Source organism: Homo sapiens, chromosome 19 (genome assembly GCF_000001405.40).
Source record: "Homo sapiens chromosome 19, GRCh38.p14 Primary Assembly".
Lineage (NCBI taxonomy): Eukaryota > Metazoa > Chordata > Mammalia > Primates > Hominidae > Homo > Homo sapiens.
Genome location: NC_000019.10, coordinates 7170012 through 7186444, shown reverse-complemented (window position 1 = coordinate 7186444; position 16433 = coordinate 7170012). Strand labels below are relative to the sequence as shown.

Sequence of the window (16433 nt, the reverse complement as noted above, 5' to 3'; positions counted from 1 at the left end):
GCACATTCAGAAGCCACAGGGGAGAAGTGGCTACTATGTTGGATGGCCCAGATAGAGAACATTTCCGTCATCGCAGAAATTTCGACCAGATGGTGCTGTTCATATATGGATGTAGCTTCTGGGGCCACTTCTGTTCCCTGAGTTTGGCCGGTGGGATCCACTGTGCTGAGAATCACAGTCTGGGGATTTGGGGTGAAGAACACTCCCCAACTTTCTTTCTTATTTTTTGTTTTGTTTCATTTTTTGTTTTGAGACAGAGTCTCCCTCTGTCACCAAGGCTGGAGTGCAGTGGCATGATCTCGGCTCCCTGCAACCTCCCCTCCCAGGTTCAAGCGATTCTCCTGCCTCAGCCTCCTGAGTAGCTGGGATTACAGACGCCCACCACCACACCCGGCTAATTGTTTGTATCATCAGTAGAGATGGGGTTTCACCATGTTGGCCAGGCTGGTCTGAAACTCCTGACCTCAGGTGATCCGCCCACCTTGGCCTCCCAAAGTGCTAGGATTACAGGCATGAGCCACCACAACCAGCCTTTTTTTTTTCCTTCCTTCCTTCCTTTTCTCTCTCTCTTTGTCTCTCTCTCTCTTTTTTTTTTTTTTTTTTGACAGAATTTTGCACTTGTTGCCCAGGCTGGAGTATAGTGGCACGATCATGGCTCACTGCAGCCTCCACCTCCCAGATTCAAGTGATTCTCGTGCCTCAGCCTCCTGAGCAGCTGGGATTACAGGCATGCACCAGCACACCTAGCTAATTTTTGTATTTTTAGTAGAGACAGGGTTTCACCATGTTGACCAGGCTGGTCTCAAACTCCTGACCTCAGGTGATCCACCCGCCTCGACCTCCCAAATTGCTAGGATTACAGGCGTGAGCCACCACACCGAGCCACATTTGCATGTTTAAGTAACTAACATGTCTCCTCCATTAGACCTTGTGCTCCCAAAGGCAGGATCTGCAGCCACTTTTTTCCCCACAGTGGCCACAGTATCTAGATTAGTGCAAGCAAATGTCTGTTGAAGCAATCAGTGGTTTGGGGGCAAGTTACTTAACCTCCCTGTACCTCAGTTTCCCCATTTGTAAAACAAAAAAATAAAGGAGCTAACAGTGTATCTACTTCACATGTGGGGTGCAGCAGCATGCTGGAGTTGGCTTGCTGGAGCCAGTGGTGAAATTTTCAGGCAATTTGTGAGCCATTTGTTAAACATAGATATTCATAAAAATTACATAAACCTACAGTTAAACAAATTACATTAAAAACAAAAGTTTTTAAATTAACAAAGCTTTTTAAAAGTAACAAATACTCAAAACTCACCACCTCCTAATATCATACGATGTTTTCCTATTATTTGTGCTGTTGAGGTTATTTACTACTTTTGTGTCAATAGTAGATACATTTTGTGTATACTTATAAATACTACTTAGAGGAATGCTACTGTGTATCTTTTGTCAGCTTATGTTTAGTAACTTCATGTTGGTGGCCTGAAATCCACCACTGGTAGGAATATTTACACCATGGAAATCGGCAAATGCTATATAAATCTGGGCCTCCCTGGGCCCCTCCCTCAGGCAGCTGTTAAACATTTACAAGCTCACCAATGGTTTGGAGGCTTAAACCAGTTAATAGATGTGTCTGACATGTGGGTAATGATGTAGACGTGCCGCTTTTACTGTTAGTGTTTGGTTGGCTTTCACTGTCTGATCCAGAATTGCTGCATATGCAGACAGGAATTGGACAAAGCCATTTATTTATTTATTTATTTATTTATTTATTTATTTATTTATTTCCCTCTCTCTCTCTCTCTCTCTCCAGTTTGCCCGACCATCTGTAAGTCACACGGCTGCACCGCCGAAGGCCTCTGTTGCCACAGCGAGTGCCTGGGCAACTGTTCTCAGCCCGACGACCCCACCAAGTGCGTGGCCTGCCGCAACTTCTACCTGGACGGCAGGTGTGTGGAGACCTGCCCGCCCCCGTACTACCACTTCCAGGACTGGCGCTGTGTGAACTTCAGCTTCTGCCAGGACCTGCACCACAAATGCAAGAACTCGCGGAGGCAGGGCTGCCACCAGTACGTCATTCACAACAACAAGTGCATCCCTGAGTGTCCCTCCGGGTACACGATGAATTCCAGCAAGTGAGTTCTGGATGTGGGTCTGGGGGGCAGCCGAGAGGAGAAGGAACGTGGGGTTGGTTGTGACGATGCCGCTTGTTAAAACTGTGTGCAAACCCAGGGTTAATTGGCTATGAGTGAGGTCTCTGCTCTCAGATGCTACTTTTGCACCCTGTTTTGGTCCTGGGCTTGGGAGTGGGAGTTGACTACCTTTTTCTCTAAAGGACCAGATAGTATATACTTCTGGCATTGTGCCCACCATTCTTTTTTTTTTTTTTTGAGATGGAGTCTTGCCGCAAGACTCCCAAGCTGGAGTGCAGTGGCACGAACCTGGCTCACTGCAACCTCTGCCTCCTGGGTTCAAGCGATTTTCCTGCCTCAGCCTCCCAAGCAGCTGGGACTGCAGGTGCCTGCCACCATGCCCGGCTAATTTTTGTATTTTTAATAGAGACAGGGTTTCGCCATGTTGGTCAGGCTGGTCTCGAACTCCCAACCTCAGGTGGTCCACCTGCCTTGGCCTCTCAAAGTGCTGTGATTGCAGGTGTGAGCCACCGCACCCAGTCTGGCATTGTGGACCTCAGTTCTAAGCTTTCTGTGGTTGGCTTCAGAACAAGAAAATATAATAAGGACAGAGTCCTTGGTTTTCCCTAAAATCCTCCACGTGGCCTGTCCTCACTGATGTAGCTTCATCATTGTCACATAAAGGATATACCAAGGTCTTTCGTGTCTTCCCTGACCTGTAGCCTGGTGGTGTGCCAAGATTAGCCCAGAACATACTGTCTCCAGGAGGAAGAGACTCGCTTCTGCATTATTCTCAGGGCTTTGCTGTTCTCTGAAGGACAGTATAATCAAACCATTTCCTGCCGTTTGGGTGAGAAATAGCAGGGTTTTCTCTCTTCGACAGAGTCAGATTTCCTACGCACATCGCAGACTTTCTGTTCGTACTGTGAGCTTCTTCCATGAGCTATTTTGGGGCCGTAACTGAGTTGCAAAAATCTGTTTCCTGGTTTTTGTATTGAGGTTTTATGTTTTGTTTTAAAACACACACACACACACACACACACACACACACACACCACAAAACAACACAAAAACAAATCAGAAACAGACACACATCAAGAGGCCTTGAGCTGACCTGCTTACGTAAAGTATCTTCCTCTTCAGACTTGAGAATTAGCCAAGCGAGAGTGTTGGGGTGGGAAATTGTATTTCCCTGGGTGGAGAGGGCGGGAAGGAAAACAAGCTGTAATTTCAGTTCTTATGACTCTTTCTTTGAGTGTTTGTGAAACCTGCAAGTACAATATGTTTTGTTTTGCTCGTTGTTGATAAAAACCTACCAAAAAAACCTTTTGGCTTTATTGACCAAAAGGGTCTATAAATCACCTTTTCATACCAGACAGACTTTTGTTTTAGGTTTTTTTTTTTTTTTTTGGCCAGTGTATTCCCAAGATTGAGGAAATGACCATATTCCTTTTGATTCATTTCTTTCTTTTTAAAATCACAATTGAAATAAAAAAAATGGGTTAATATCTTCTGGCAAGATGTTTGTTTAAAAGACATTGGCCTTAAATAAAAGGCATTTTTCCCTCACCTTAACAATGGCCTGAGAAATATAGCAACCTCCTTTGATTTTCTCACTGATGATGCGGGAGATGCTAAAACAGAAACCCTGAGAAATTGACCGCACATCCTTGGTATCTGGGACCTTTCCTGAACGGAAGAAAACAAAGGAGAGGGGGGTGCATTGTCACCGTATTTTATTGCGTAGGTTTAAAAAAATTAATATTTTTATTTCTGAAGCTTTTAATTAATTAATTTATTTATTTTGAGACAGAGCCTCACTCTGTCACCCAGGCTGGAGTGCAGTGGCATGATCTCAGCTCACTGCAACCTCTGCCTTCCAGGTTCAAGCCATTCTCCTGCCTCAGCCTCCCAAGTAGCTGGGATTACAGGTGTGAGGCAGCAAGCCTGGCCAATTTTTTTTTGTTTGTGCTTTTGTTTTTTTGAGATGGAGTTTCATTCTTGTTGCCCAGACTGAAGTGCAATGGTGCGATCTTGGCTCACTGCAACTCAGCCTCCCGGGTTCAAGTGATTCTCCTGCCTTAGCCTCTAAGTAGCTGGGATTACAGACATCTGTCACCATACCCAGCTAAATTTTTCTTGTATTTTTAGTAGAGACCGGGTTTCATCATGTTGGCCAGGCTGGTCTTGAACTCCTGACCTCAAGTGATCCACCCACCTCGGCCTCCCAAAGTGCTGGGATTACAGGCATGAGCCACCGCACCTGGCCTGAAGCTTTTCTTTTTATCTTATGAAAGACTTAATCGTACTGTGGCATTTTCTAATGTGGTTTGATATCAAATAGGGCCAGATGTTTTCTTCCATTCTGGTGGCTTATCTGGGAAGGAGTTCTTGATGTTTTCAGAGCAGAGTTCTGGGAACCCATGTTAAAAGGCCTTGGCCAGGCACAGTGGCTTATGCCTGTAATCCCAGCACTTTGGGAGGCCGAAGTGGACGGATCATCTGAGGGCAGGAGTTCAAGGTCAGCCTGGCCACCACGGTGAAACCCCGTCTTTACTAAAAATACAAAAACAAAAAAAAAATTAGCTGGGCATGGTGATGCATACCTGTTATCCCAGCTACTCGGGAGGCTGAGGCATGAGAATTGCTTGAACCCAGGAGGCAGAGGTTGCAGTGAGCTGAGATCACGCCATTGCACGTTAGCCCCCAGGCAAGTGTGACAAGAGTGAAACTGCATCTCCAAAAAAAAAAAAAAAAAGGTCTCACCATCTACTGTCGTTCCAAAGTACCTGCTGGGATGTAATAGCACAGTGCTGCTTCCTGAGATGAGAAGGACCAGATATTTGTGATGAATAAATTTTCAATGCGTATGGGGTATCCACTGGGAAGGGGAGAATTACCTAAAATCCTTGATTCTTCTTGGCCTCTCTCACTTCTTCCTATTAAGCTGAGGTCTCAAATTTGTCTACACCTCCATCTATTTCACCATCATGTCTGGTCTGACCCAGTCCCCTTGAACAATCTCTTTGCTCCTGCTTCCATTCTAGTGACACTGGTAAAAAGTGGCCACCTGGGCCAGGCGCGGTGGCTCACGCCTATAACCCCAGCACTTTGGGAGGCCGAGGTGGGTGGATCACCTGAGGTCAGGAGTTCGAGACCAGCCTGACCAACATGGTGAAACCCCATCTCTACTAAAAATACAAAAATTAGCCAGGCGTGGGATTACAGTGGGCGCCTGTAATCCCAGCTACTCGGGAGGCTGAGACAGCAGAATTGCTTGAACCCGGGAGGTGGAGGTCGCAGTGAGCCGAGAGTGTGCCACTGCACTGCAGTCTCGGTGACAGAGTGAGACTCTGTCTCAAAAGAAAAAATAAAAGTGGTCATCTGATCATATGCCATGTCCTTCCCTAAAACCCTCCGGTGGCTTCCCAAGACCAATGGACAGAATCCAAACTCCTCATCGGGAGGGCTCGGCCAGTTCTCATTCTCATTTCATTCCGGTGCCCCCTGGCCGTGGTGGTCGTTACCGCAGGAGCTTTTCCTGCAACTTGCTACATCCGCTTTCCTCTGTGCCTTTCAATTAGCTGTTCCCTCTTCCTATAATGCTTGTCCCTGCATTTGAGAATGATCCACTTTTTCCCCTCGTCATCTAGATGGCAGCTTAAAAGTCACCTCCTTGGCAAATCCTTCCCGTCTGAGTCAATCATCCGTGCACTCTCTGTCACATCATTTAGTTTTAACTCTTCGATTTGTCACTAGCTGATATTTTTGTCTTTTTTTTTTTTTTTTGAGACAAGGTCTTGGTCTGTCACCCAGGCTAGAGTGCAGTGGCACCCACATGGCTCACTGTGGTCTCAACCCCCTGGGCTCAAGAGATCCTCCTGCCACAGCCTCCTGAGTAGCTGGGACTATATAGGCACACACCACCACACCTGGCTAAAAAAAAATTCTGTAGTGTTGGGGGTCTTGCTATATTCCCCAGGCTCGTCTTGAACTCCTGGGTTTAAGTGATCCTCCCACCTTGGCTTCCCAAAGTGCTGAGATTACAGGGCCTGAGCCACTGTACCTAGCCTTTGTTGTCAATTTATTCACTCTCCCCAACCAGATGATAAGCTTTGTGAGTGTATCAGCTAGCTCTTGTTGCGTAACAAAACCACCTCAGTGCTTAGTGGCTTAAAACACTCCTTTAGGAGCTCTGATGATTTCATGTGTTGACTGAAGGTTTGTCTGGCCTGGGCCTGTTTAGCTACGGCTGATGGTTTAGGGGAGCCTCTTGTGTCTTTGATGGTCAGTGGGGGTCTCTCTCCATAAGTCTCTTACCCCAGCAGCCAGGAAGGGCAGACCTCAATGTTCAAGTGCTTTTCAAGCCTCAGCTTGTATCACGTTTGCAAATATTCCATTGGCCAAAGCAAGCCATATGGCCAAGCCCAGATTCAACAGGTGGGAACATAGACTCCACTTCTTGGTGGGAGAGGCTGCAAAGAACTCATGGTCATTTATAATTTCCCACTGGGAAAGCATATTATCTGCTTTGTTCACTCATGTATACCGGCAGCTGAGAACGGGGGTTGGCCAAGGGCCAGATAGTAAATATTTTCAGCTCTCAGGGCCATATGGTCTCTGTTGGAGCTACTTAACTCTGCCTTTGCAGCGTGAAAGCAGGGTTAGACGATGTACTAACCAATAAATGTGGCCATATTCCAATAGGATATTATTTGCAAAAACAGGTGGCCTACTGGATTTGGCTCCCAGCCCACTGTTTGCCAACTCCAGGCTTAGAGCATTGCCTGCCACATAATAAGAATAGAGGCAATAAAAGAAGTCAAACATTTGGTCAGTATTTTGTTTCTGCCTCAGCTGTTCTGCCACTACCTGGGTGTACTTGCAACACCGTTCTGACACCATCCTCCTCCAAAGTTAGCATCAGACGCCACAAGTTTAAGGCTCAGCCCTCCATGAGATTTCCCTTGCTTCAGACACTGGCAGCATCTTGGGGATCCCCCAGCCACCCACACTTCTGACTAACTGGCTCTAAATTGGGGGATTCCCACAAACTGTTTGGGTTTCATAATTTACTAGAAGGAACTCACAGAATGAAAATAAACCTGGCCAGGTGTGGTGGCTCATGCCTGTAATCCCAGCACTTTGGGAGGCCATGGTGGGAGGCTCACTTGAGCCCAGAGGTTCGAGACCAGCCTGGACAACATAGTGAGATCCCATCTCTACAAAAATTTAAAAACATTAGCCAGGTGAGGGGGTGCATGCCTGTAGTCCCAGGTACTTGAGGGGCTTAAGCAGGAGGATCGCTTGAGCCCAGGAGTTCGAGGCTGCAGTGAGCTAAGATTGTGCCAGTGCACCCCAGCCCGGGTGGCAGAGCAAGATCTTGTCTCAAATTTAAAAACCCTGCTATACAATTACAGTTTTATTATAAAGGATACACATACGGCAAGATCTGGGAGAGTTCTAGATGCAGAATTTCCATATTGCCTCCTCGTGGCAACAGCATGTATCACCCTCTTGACATACTGGTGTGTCCACCAGCTGGGAAGTACTACTGAGCTTCAGCGTCCAGAGTTTTTGTTTGTTTGTTTGTTTGTTTTGAGACGGAGTCTCACTCTGTCACCCAGGCTGGAGTGCAGTGGCTCAATCTCAGCTCACTGCAACCTCCACATCCCAGGTTCAAACAATTCTCCTGCCTCAGCCCCCCGAGTAGCTGGGACTACAGGCATGCACCATCACGCACGGCTAATTTTTGTATTTTTAGTAGAGACAGGGTTTCACCATGTTGGCCAGGCTGGTCTCAAACTCCTGACTTCGTGATTCACCTGCCTCAGCCTCCCAAAGTGCTAGGATTACAGGCGTGAGGCACTGCACCCGGCCCAGTATCCAGAGTTTTAATTGGAGTCTCATTCCTTAGGCGTGATTGATTGAAATCATTGACCATGTGATTCAACACTGCCATTTCCAGCCCCCTCATCTCCCTGGAGGTCCTAAAAGCCCCAACCCTCTGATCACAGGGTTGTTCTTTCTGGTGACCGCCCCCCACCCTCATGTTATCTAGGCACCCCCCCCCCCACAAGTCACCCCGACATTCCTAACACTCCTAACAAAAGCATTCCTGTGACTCAGAAAGTTCCAAGGGTTTTTGAAGCTCTGTGCCAAGAACCGGGATGAAGACCAGATACATACTTTATGATCCTACAGTCACAAAAATCACTCTGAAGAGTTGAATACCCAGGAGTGTGAGAACAACAGCAGCAGCAACAAGGATGCCACCAATAAAAAATGACCCTTGTAGCAACGGATAAAATTGCGTTCTGTGTGCGAAGTGCTTTTGTGGTATGCTTCATTGAGTTCCTCATCACAAGCTGTGGCGTTGGTGGTGTTATTTTCAGATGAAGAAATGGAGACTGTAACAGTTGGGAATCTTGTGGTTTCATGCACCAGAACCCCAACTCAAATTGGCTTAACTGGCCGGGCACGGTTGCTCACACCTGTAATCCCAGCACTTTGGGAGGCCGAGGCGGGTGGATCACCTGAGGTTGGGAGTTCGAGACCAGCCTGACCAAAATGGAGAAACCCTGTTTCTACTAAAAAAAAAAAAAAAAAAAAAAAATACAAAATTAGATGGGGCATGGTGGTGCATGCCTGTAATCCCAGCTACTCGGGAGGCTGAGGCAGGAGAATCACTTGAACCTGGGAGGCGGAGCTTGCAGTGAGCCGAGATCGTGCCATTGTACTCCAGCCTGGGCAACAAGAGTGAGACTCCATCTTAAAAAAAACAAAAACAAAAACAAAACAAAAAAACCATTGACTTAACCAAGATTAAAGGAGTTTGTTGGTACCCATAACCAAAAAGTTCAGGGAGTTGGTTCAGGTATAGCTGTATCAAGAAGCTTAAGCGATGTACCTGATCAGTCTCCTTCATCTTTATTTTCCTCTTTGTTGGTTTTGTTATCAGGCAGCTTCTCCCTCACCCTTCACCCCATGCTAGCAAGATGGCAAAACCCTTAGATACTCCAGAAGGAAGACAATTTCCCCTTCCAGCATGTTCTAGCAAAACCCTCACTGCACTGACTTAAGTTCTGTACCCACCACCTCTGAGCCCCCACAGGAATAGAAGGTGGTGCTCAGCTTGGCTTGGATCTTGTGCCCATCCTGGATCTAGAAGGGCTTTGGCAACCAAGAACTGATCTCAGAGACCCCGTGTTGGGGAGGACTGGTTCCCAAAGGACTCCTGGGGGCTGTGAGTTTGATGGCATCAGGCTGCAGGCTGGCAAAACCAAAGGCTGCCCAAGTCACTTGCCATTAAACATGGGGTCATGTTACAGCCGTAGTTGCATCACATCCCACACAGAACAGCAAATGTCCTGTCTCCTTGGAGTAGCAGGTTGAATTCTGCCACGTTGGGGTAACTGTCAGTTCTGCCACATCAGGCCCATCATCTCAAGGTAACGGCACATTCTTATTACCACATGCATTAGTCCATTTCTGCACTGCTATAAAGAATACATGGAACTGGGTAATTTATAAAGAAAAGAGGTTTAATTGGCTGACAGTTCTGCAGGCTGTACGGGAAGCATAGCAGCTTCTGCTTCTGGGGAGACCTCAGGAAACTTACAATCGTGGCGGAAAGCAAAGGGGAGGTAGGCACATCTTACATGACTGAAGGAAGAGAGAAAGGGGGAAGGTGCTACATAGTTTTGTTTGTTTGTTTTGAGACAGATTCTCACTCTGTCACCCAGGCTGGGCTGCAGTGGCACAATCTCGGCTCACTGCAGCCTCCACCTCCTGAGTTCAAGCAATTCTCATGCCTCAGCCTCCCCAGTAGCTGGGATTACAGGTGGGCACCACCACACCTGGTTAATTTTTGTATTTTTAGTAGAGACGGGGTTTCACCATGTTGGCCAGGCTGGTCTCGAACTCCTGGCCTGAAGTGATCCGCTCGCCTTGGCCTCCCAAAGTGCCGGAATTACAGGCATGAGCCACCATGCCCGGCTGGTGCTACATACTTTTAAACAACCAGATCTCGTGAGAACTCACTCACTATACACTGCCAAGGGGTATGGTGCCAGACCATTCATGAGAACTCCGCCCACCATGATCCAGTCATCTCCCACCAGGCCCCACCTCCCACATTGGGGATTACAATTTGACATGAGATTTGGGTGGGGACACAGATCCAAAACATATCGCCACGATAATGCTATGAGTCCCATTGCTGTCACGCACAGGGTAGATCATGGTCCTGCCTCCATGGGATATGGTGTGAATCCCATCACTGTGGGGTCCAGCAGGAGTCCTGTCCCATCACTTTGGGGTAAAATATGAGTCTTGTCACTTTGGGGTAAAAGCAAGAGGACCTGCAACCATAGGGTAATGGCATAATTCTCTCACTTAAGGCAGTGGTTCTTTTCTGGGGACAATCTGGCATCCTCCCTCCCCAGGGGACTTTTGGCAATGTTGGGAGACTTTTTTTTTTTTTGAGATGGAGTCTGACTGTGTCTCCCAGCTGGAGTGCAGTGGTGCTATCTCGGCTCACTGCAACCTCTGCCTCCCAGGTTCAAGCGATTCTCCTACCTCAGCCTCCTGAGTAGCTGAGATTATAGGCACGTGCCACCACACCCAGCTAATTTTTGTATTTTTAGTAGAGACAGGGTTTCACCATGTTGGCCAGGCTGGTCTTGAACTCCTGACCTCAGGTGATCTGCCCGCCTCGGACTCCCAAAGTGCTGGGATTACAGGCGTGAGCCACTTTGCCTGGCCTGGAGGACATTTTTAATTGCCACAACTTGTGGGAGGGATGCTACTGGCAGCTCGTGAGTGGAGCCTAGGGATGCCGCTCAATATCCTCCAATGCATAGGACGCCACCCCCACTACCACAGTGGAGAATTACTTGGCCCCAAATGTGAACAATGCTGAGGTCAGAAGACCTTGCCGTAGCATGATGGACTTATGCCATCACTTGAGACCCTGCATAGTGTGCTGTCTTCCCAGGCTGATCTTGAACTCCCAGGCTCAAGCAACCCTCCCTCCTTGGCCTCTCAAAGTGCAGGAATGACAGGCAGGAGCCACCACGCCCGGCTCCAGAATCTACATTTTTAACAATCAAGCGATATGTCCTATTGCAGATCGGCAGACTGTGTTTTCAGAAATATCATCTCAGGCAGAAAGGGCCGGGTGCAGTGGCTCACACCTGTAATCCCAGCACTTTGGGAGGCCGAGGCGGGTGGATCACTTGAGGTCAGGAGTTTGAGACCAGCCTGGCCAACATGGTAAAACCCCGTCTCTACTCAAAAATACAAAAATTAGCCAGGCACGGTGGCGGGCACCTATAATCCCAGCTACTGTGGAGGCTGAGGCAGGAGAATCTCTTGAACCCAGAAGGCAGAGGTTGCAGTGAGCTGAGATCGCACCACTGCACTCCAGCCTGGGCAACAGAGCGAGACTCTGTCACACAAACACACACACACACACAAAGAAATACCATATCAGGCAGAAAGATGCCTGAGATGTCTGAAGGACCTTGGATACCGTGACACCCCCCTCCCCTTTCTCTTTCTCTCTCTCTCTGCTCCGTCCTTAGCTTGCTGTGCACCCCATGCCTGGGTCCCTGTCCCAAGGTGTGCCACCTCCTAGAAGGCGAGAAGACCATCGACTCGGTGACGTCTGCCCAGGAGCTCCGAGGATGCACCGTCATCAACGGGAGTCTGATCATCAACATTCGAGGAGGCAGTGAGTGTCTCTGTGTGGGCGTCGGGGGTGCCTGTTGGGCTCCATGTCCCTCTGAGCTGTGAGCGGGGAAGAAAAGCAGTGCAGACCCTGCTGCGTGCTCCTACAGCACTTTTAGGATGGTCGTTCAGTGGCTCCCCCATGGATAGAACCATGCTGGGAGTCTGCCTCAAAACCTGAAATGAACAGCTCAGTCTTGGCCTTACTAACCTTGAGATTCTCATTTTCTACTTTGGGAGTTGGGGCATCAGGAATCTGCATTTACATTTATTTTTATTTTTATTTTTATTTTTAGAGATGGGGTCTTGCTCCATTGCCCAGGCTGGAGTACAGTGGGGCAACTCTAGCTCACTGTAGCCTCAAACTCTTGGGCTCATGCAGTCCTCCTACCTCAGCCTCCCAAGTAGCTGGGAGTACAGGCAGGTGTCACTGTGCCGGGCTAATTTTTTTTTTTTTTAATTTTTTTCCAGGGCCAGGTTCTCACTATGTTGCCCAGGCTGGTCTCAAACTCCTGGGCTCGAGCAATCTTCCTGCCTCAGCCTCTCAAAGTGCAGGGATTACAGGCATGAGCCACCCCACCTGGCTTTGGAATCGTCGTTTTTAACAATCAAGCAATATGCCCTATTGCAGAACTGCAGGCTGTGTTTTCAGAAATAAATCTCAGGGCCGGGTGCAGTGGCTCATGCCTGTAATCCCAACAGTTTGGGAGGCCGAGGCAGGTGGATCACGTGAGGTGAGAAGTTTAAGACCAGCCTGGCCAACATGGTGAAACCCTGTCTCTACTAAAAATACAAAAAAATTAGCCAGGCTTGGTGGTGCGTGCCTGTAATCCCAGCTACGCAGGAGGCTGAGGCAGGAGAATCGTTTGAACTCAGGAAGTGGAGGTTGCAATGAGCTGGGATCGCGCCACTGCACTCTAGCCTGGGCGACAGAGTGAGACTCCATCTCAAAAAAAAAAAAAAAAAAAAAAAAAGCCAGGCGCTGTGGCTCATGCCTGTAATCCCAGCACTTTGGGAGGCTGAGGTGGGCGGATCACTTGAGGTCAGAAGTTTGAGACCAGCCAACATGGTGAAACCTTGTCTCTCCTAAAAATACAAAAATTAGCTGGGCACGGTGGCACATGCCTGTAGTCCTAGCTACTTGGGAGGCTGAGGCAGGAGAATCACTTGAACCTGGGAGGCAGAGGTTGCAGTGAGCCGAGATCACACCACTGCACTCCAGCCTGGGCCATAGACCAAGACTCCATTTCAAAAAAAAAGAAAAGAAATACCATGTCAGGCAAAAAGGCATTCCTTTGTTTATTTCTTTAGCGAACATGTACTGAATACTCACAGTGAGTAAGGGAAAGTCCTTACCTTGATGGATTTTTGCGCATAAGTAAATCGACAGATATTGTAAGGTCAGGTTGTGGTCTGTGCTGTGAAGGGAAGTGCAGCAGGGTAATAGGTGGAATGGAAATGGGCAACTTTTCCCTATAAAGGGCTCTTTCATGAATATATTCAGCCTGGCAGGCCGGGCAGTCTCTGCCGTAACCACTCAACTCTGCCGTTGTAATATGAAAACAGCCATAGACCCATGTCAGCTAGCAGGCATGGCTTTGTTCCAATAAAACTTTATTTACAAAACAGGTAGAATTTGGCCAGTGGGCTGTCATTTGTCAACCTCTAAAATGGAGACTAACAGGGGTTGCTATTTTTTTTTTTTTTTGTAGTTTTAGTAGAGACAGGGTTTCACCATGTTGGCCAGGGTGGTCTTGAACTCCTGACCTCAAGTGATCCACCTGCCTCGCCCTCCCAAGGTGCTGGTATTACAGGCATGAGCCACCAGCACCAAGCTGGGGGTTGCTATTTTAGAGAAGTCTCTGGTATGGGAAAGGAGGGTTTGAGATGATGATGGAACAAGCCAAGGAGATATATGGTGGAATAATATTCTGAGCAACAGACGCAGCCAGTGCCAAGGTCCTGGGGCAGAAGTATGCTTGACCCATTTAAGGAATGCTAAGGACTTCAGATTGTGTTCTAAGCATGATGAGTTTTGAGCTGGGTATGTCCAGTCATTTGCAGCCTGAGGGTTATCTTCTCACCATGGAGAATCATGAGAAGATTGAAATATGTCTATAGAAACCCACTGGATATTCTCTCCTTTCCTTAGACAATCTGGCAGCTGAGCTAGAAGCCAACCTCGGCCTCATTGAAGAAATTTCAGGGTATCTAAAAATCCGCCGATCCTACGCTCTGGTGTCACTTTCCTTCTTCCGGAAGTTACGTCTGATTCGAGGAGAGACCTTGGAAATTGGGTACGTGGGCCTGATTGTGTGTATGGCCTGAGTGCTAACTAGGAAGTTCGTGTATTAGAACAACTTAAGGATTTTTTTGGCCAGGTGTGGTGGCTGATGCCTGTAATCCCAGCATTTTAGGAGGCCAACGTGGGTGAATCACTTGAGGCGGGGAGTTCAAGACCAGCCTGGCCAACATGGTGAAACCCTGTCTCTACTAAAAGTACAAAAATTAGCCAAGTGTGATAGTGCATGCCTGTAATCCCAGCTACTTGGGAGGCTGAGGCAGGAGAATAGCTTGAACCTGGGAGGCAGAGGTTGCAGTGAGCCAAGATCACACTACTGCACTCCAGCCTGGGTGACAGAGTGAGACTCTGTCCAAAAAAAAAAAAAGAAAAGAAAAGGAAAAACTTAAGGATTTTTTAAAAATCAAATAAAAACAAATAAAAAACAAATAAAAGTATATCTGGCAAAACCTCGGGAAAAAAGAACTTGGAATGTGCCTAAAGGTCCATCCAGCCAAAAATTGTAAAAGCTTTTTTATAGTCATTCTTGAGAAACAAAAGTGGGAGCAGCCCAACCTTGGTGCCCATCCTCCAAGGGTACAGGCTGGAATTTTTGCTAAATTTGCTGTTTGGGCTGCATTGTGAGTAGAGTTTGGCATGCATAAAATGAACATTCCCTCTTAGTCCCGGTTGTCCATCCTAATTTCTGGGATGGACTCCATCTCAGTATATTCCAGTATATTCCAACCTTCTCCTTGAGGTCCTAGAAACTCTATTAGCAAAACAGCAGAAACTCAAACTAGCTAGATCAAGATTGACTCATAGGCAGGAGGTCTGTGGAAGACCCAGATTCTTTCCATCTTTGTGCTCCTCATGGTCACAAGATGGCTGCCTCAGCCCCAGCCTCACATCTGTAGAACAGACAGCAAATGGGGAAAGGGACAAAAGGACATGTTAATCAACATGAGCTGGTAAGTGACTTGAGAAGGTGGTCTAAACAATATAGTTTAGACTATATTATCTGTACTCCAGCCTAGGCACCAGAGTGAGAATCCATCTCAATAAAACAAACAAACAAACAAACAAAAACCTTCAATGGCTCCTTTCTCCTTATTAAGGATGGCCACATGTTCTTGGTCTTGGTCTGGCATGCAATATACTAGAGGGTCTGGTCCATTGCAACTACAGCTATTTCCTGTCACCTATTGGCCAAAACAGGCTACTTTGCTCTTCCCTGAACTCAGCTTAGGTGCCTCTGTGTTATCAGTATTTCCCCTATTTGCAGAAATTGGTTTCTGCAAAACCTATTCCTCAGTCCATCACAGACTCACCACCCCTCTTCAAGACTGAGCTGAGCCTCCTTCCTGGCCATGAAAACTTCCTCAACTTCCTCTGTTATCCACATTCAACAAATATGTGTTGAGTATGTGCCAAGCAAGTGGAGAGGATTAGGCACGTAGCACTGAACAAGATCAACTCCGAGCATGGCCACACCATCTTGGAGTTGTAGAAGACCAGCCGTTGAATGACTAGATGTGTGTGTTTTTTCCATAGGAACTACTCCTTCTATGCCTTGGACAACCAGAACCTAAGGCAGCTCTGGGACTGGAGCAAACACAACCTCACCATCACTCAGGGGAAACTCTTCTTCCACTATAACCCCAAACTCTGCTTGTCAGAAATCCACAAGATGGAAGAAGTTTCAGGAACCAAGGGGCGCCAGGAGAGAAACGACATTGCCCTGAAGACCAATGGGGACCAGGCATCCTGTAAGTCACTGGTCCCCAACCTTTTTGGCATGAGGGACCGGTGTAGTGGAAGATGGTTTTTCCATGGACTGGTGGTGGGTGGGGATGGTTTCAGCATGATTCAAGTGCATTACATTTACTATGCACTTTATTCCTATTATGATTACATTGTAATATATAATGAAAGAATTGTACAACTCACCATCATGTAGAATCAATGGGAACCCTGAGCTTGTGTTCCTGCAACTAGATGGTCCCAGCTGGGGGTGATGGGAGACAGTGACAGATCATCAGGCATTAGATTTTCATAAGGAGTGTGCAGTCTAGGTACCTCATGTACACAGTTCACAATAGGGTTCACACCCCTGTGAGAATCTAATGCCGCCGCTAATCTGACAGGAGGCAGAACTCAGGTGGTCATGCAAGCGATGGGGAGTGACTGTAAATACAGATGAAGCTTCACTTGCTCACCTATCACTCACCTCCTGCTGTACAGCCCTGTTCGTAACAGGCCATGGATAAGTACTGGTCTGTGGCCCAGGGGCT

General features: G+C 47.5%; 1 protein-coding gene across 4 annotated transcripts in view, besides 1 other annotated feature; it reads left to right on the top strand.

Moving 5' to 3' along the window:
* Positions 1-16433, top strand: part of INSR (insulin receptor) — a 182150-nt gene that overhangs the window by 107970 nt on the left and 57747 nt on the right. For all 4 annotated transcript variants that reach the window (XM_011527989.4, NM_001079817.3, XM_011527988.3 and 1 more), the window contains exons 3-6: positions 1808-2129; positions 11714-11862; positions 14011-14155; positions 15694-15908. In XM_011527989.4, the coding sequence (XP_011526291.2) occupies positions 1808-2129; positions 11714-11862; positions 14011-14155; positions 15694-15908 (831 nt within the window). The remainder of the gene's footprint in view (positions 1-1807; positions 2130-11713; positions 11863-14010; positions 14156-15693; positions 15909-16433) is intronic.
* Positions 7151-7250: an enhancer, noted in NCBI's record as "active region_13870". NCBI's record gives its function as "activates an Ori minimal core promoter by ATAC-STARR-seq in GM12878 lymphoblastoid cells {active_cell/tissue: GM12878}" and the evidence as "EXISTENCE:reporter gene assay evidence [ECO:0000049][PMID:35858748]".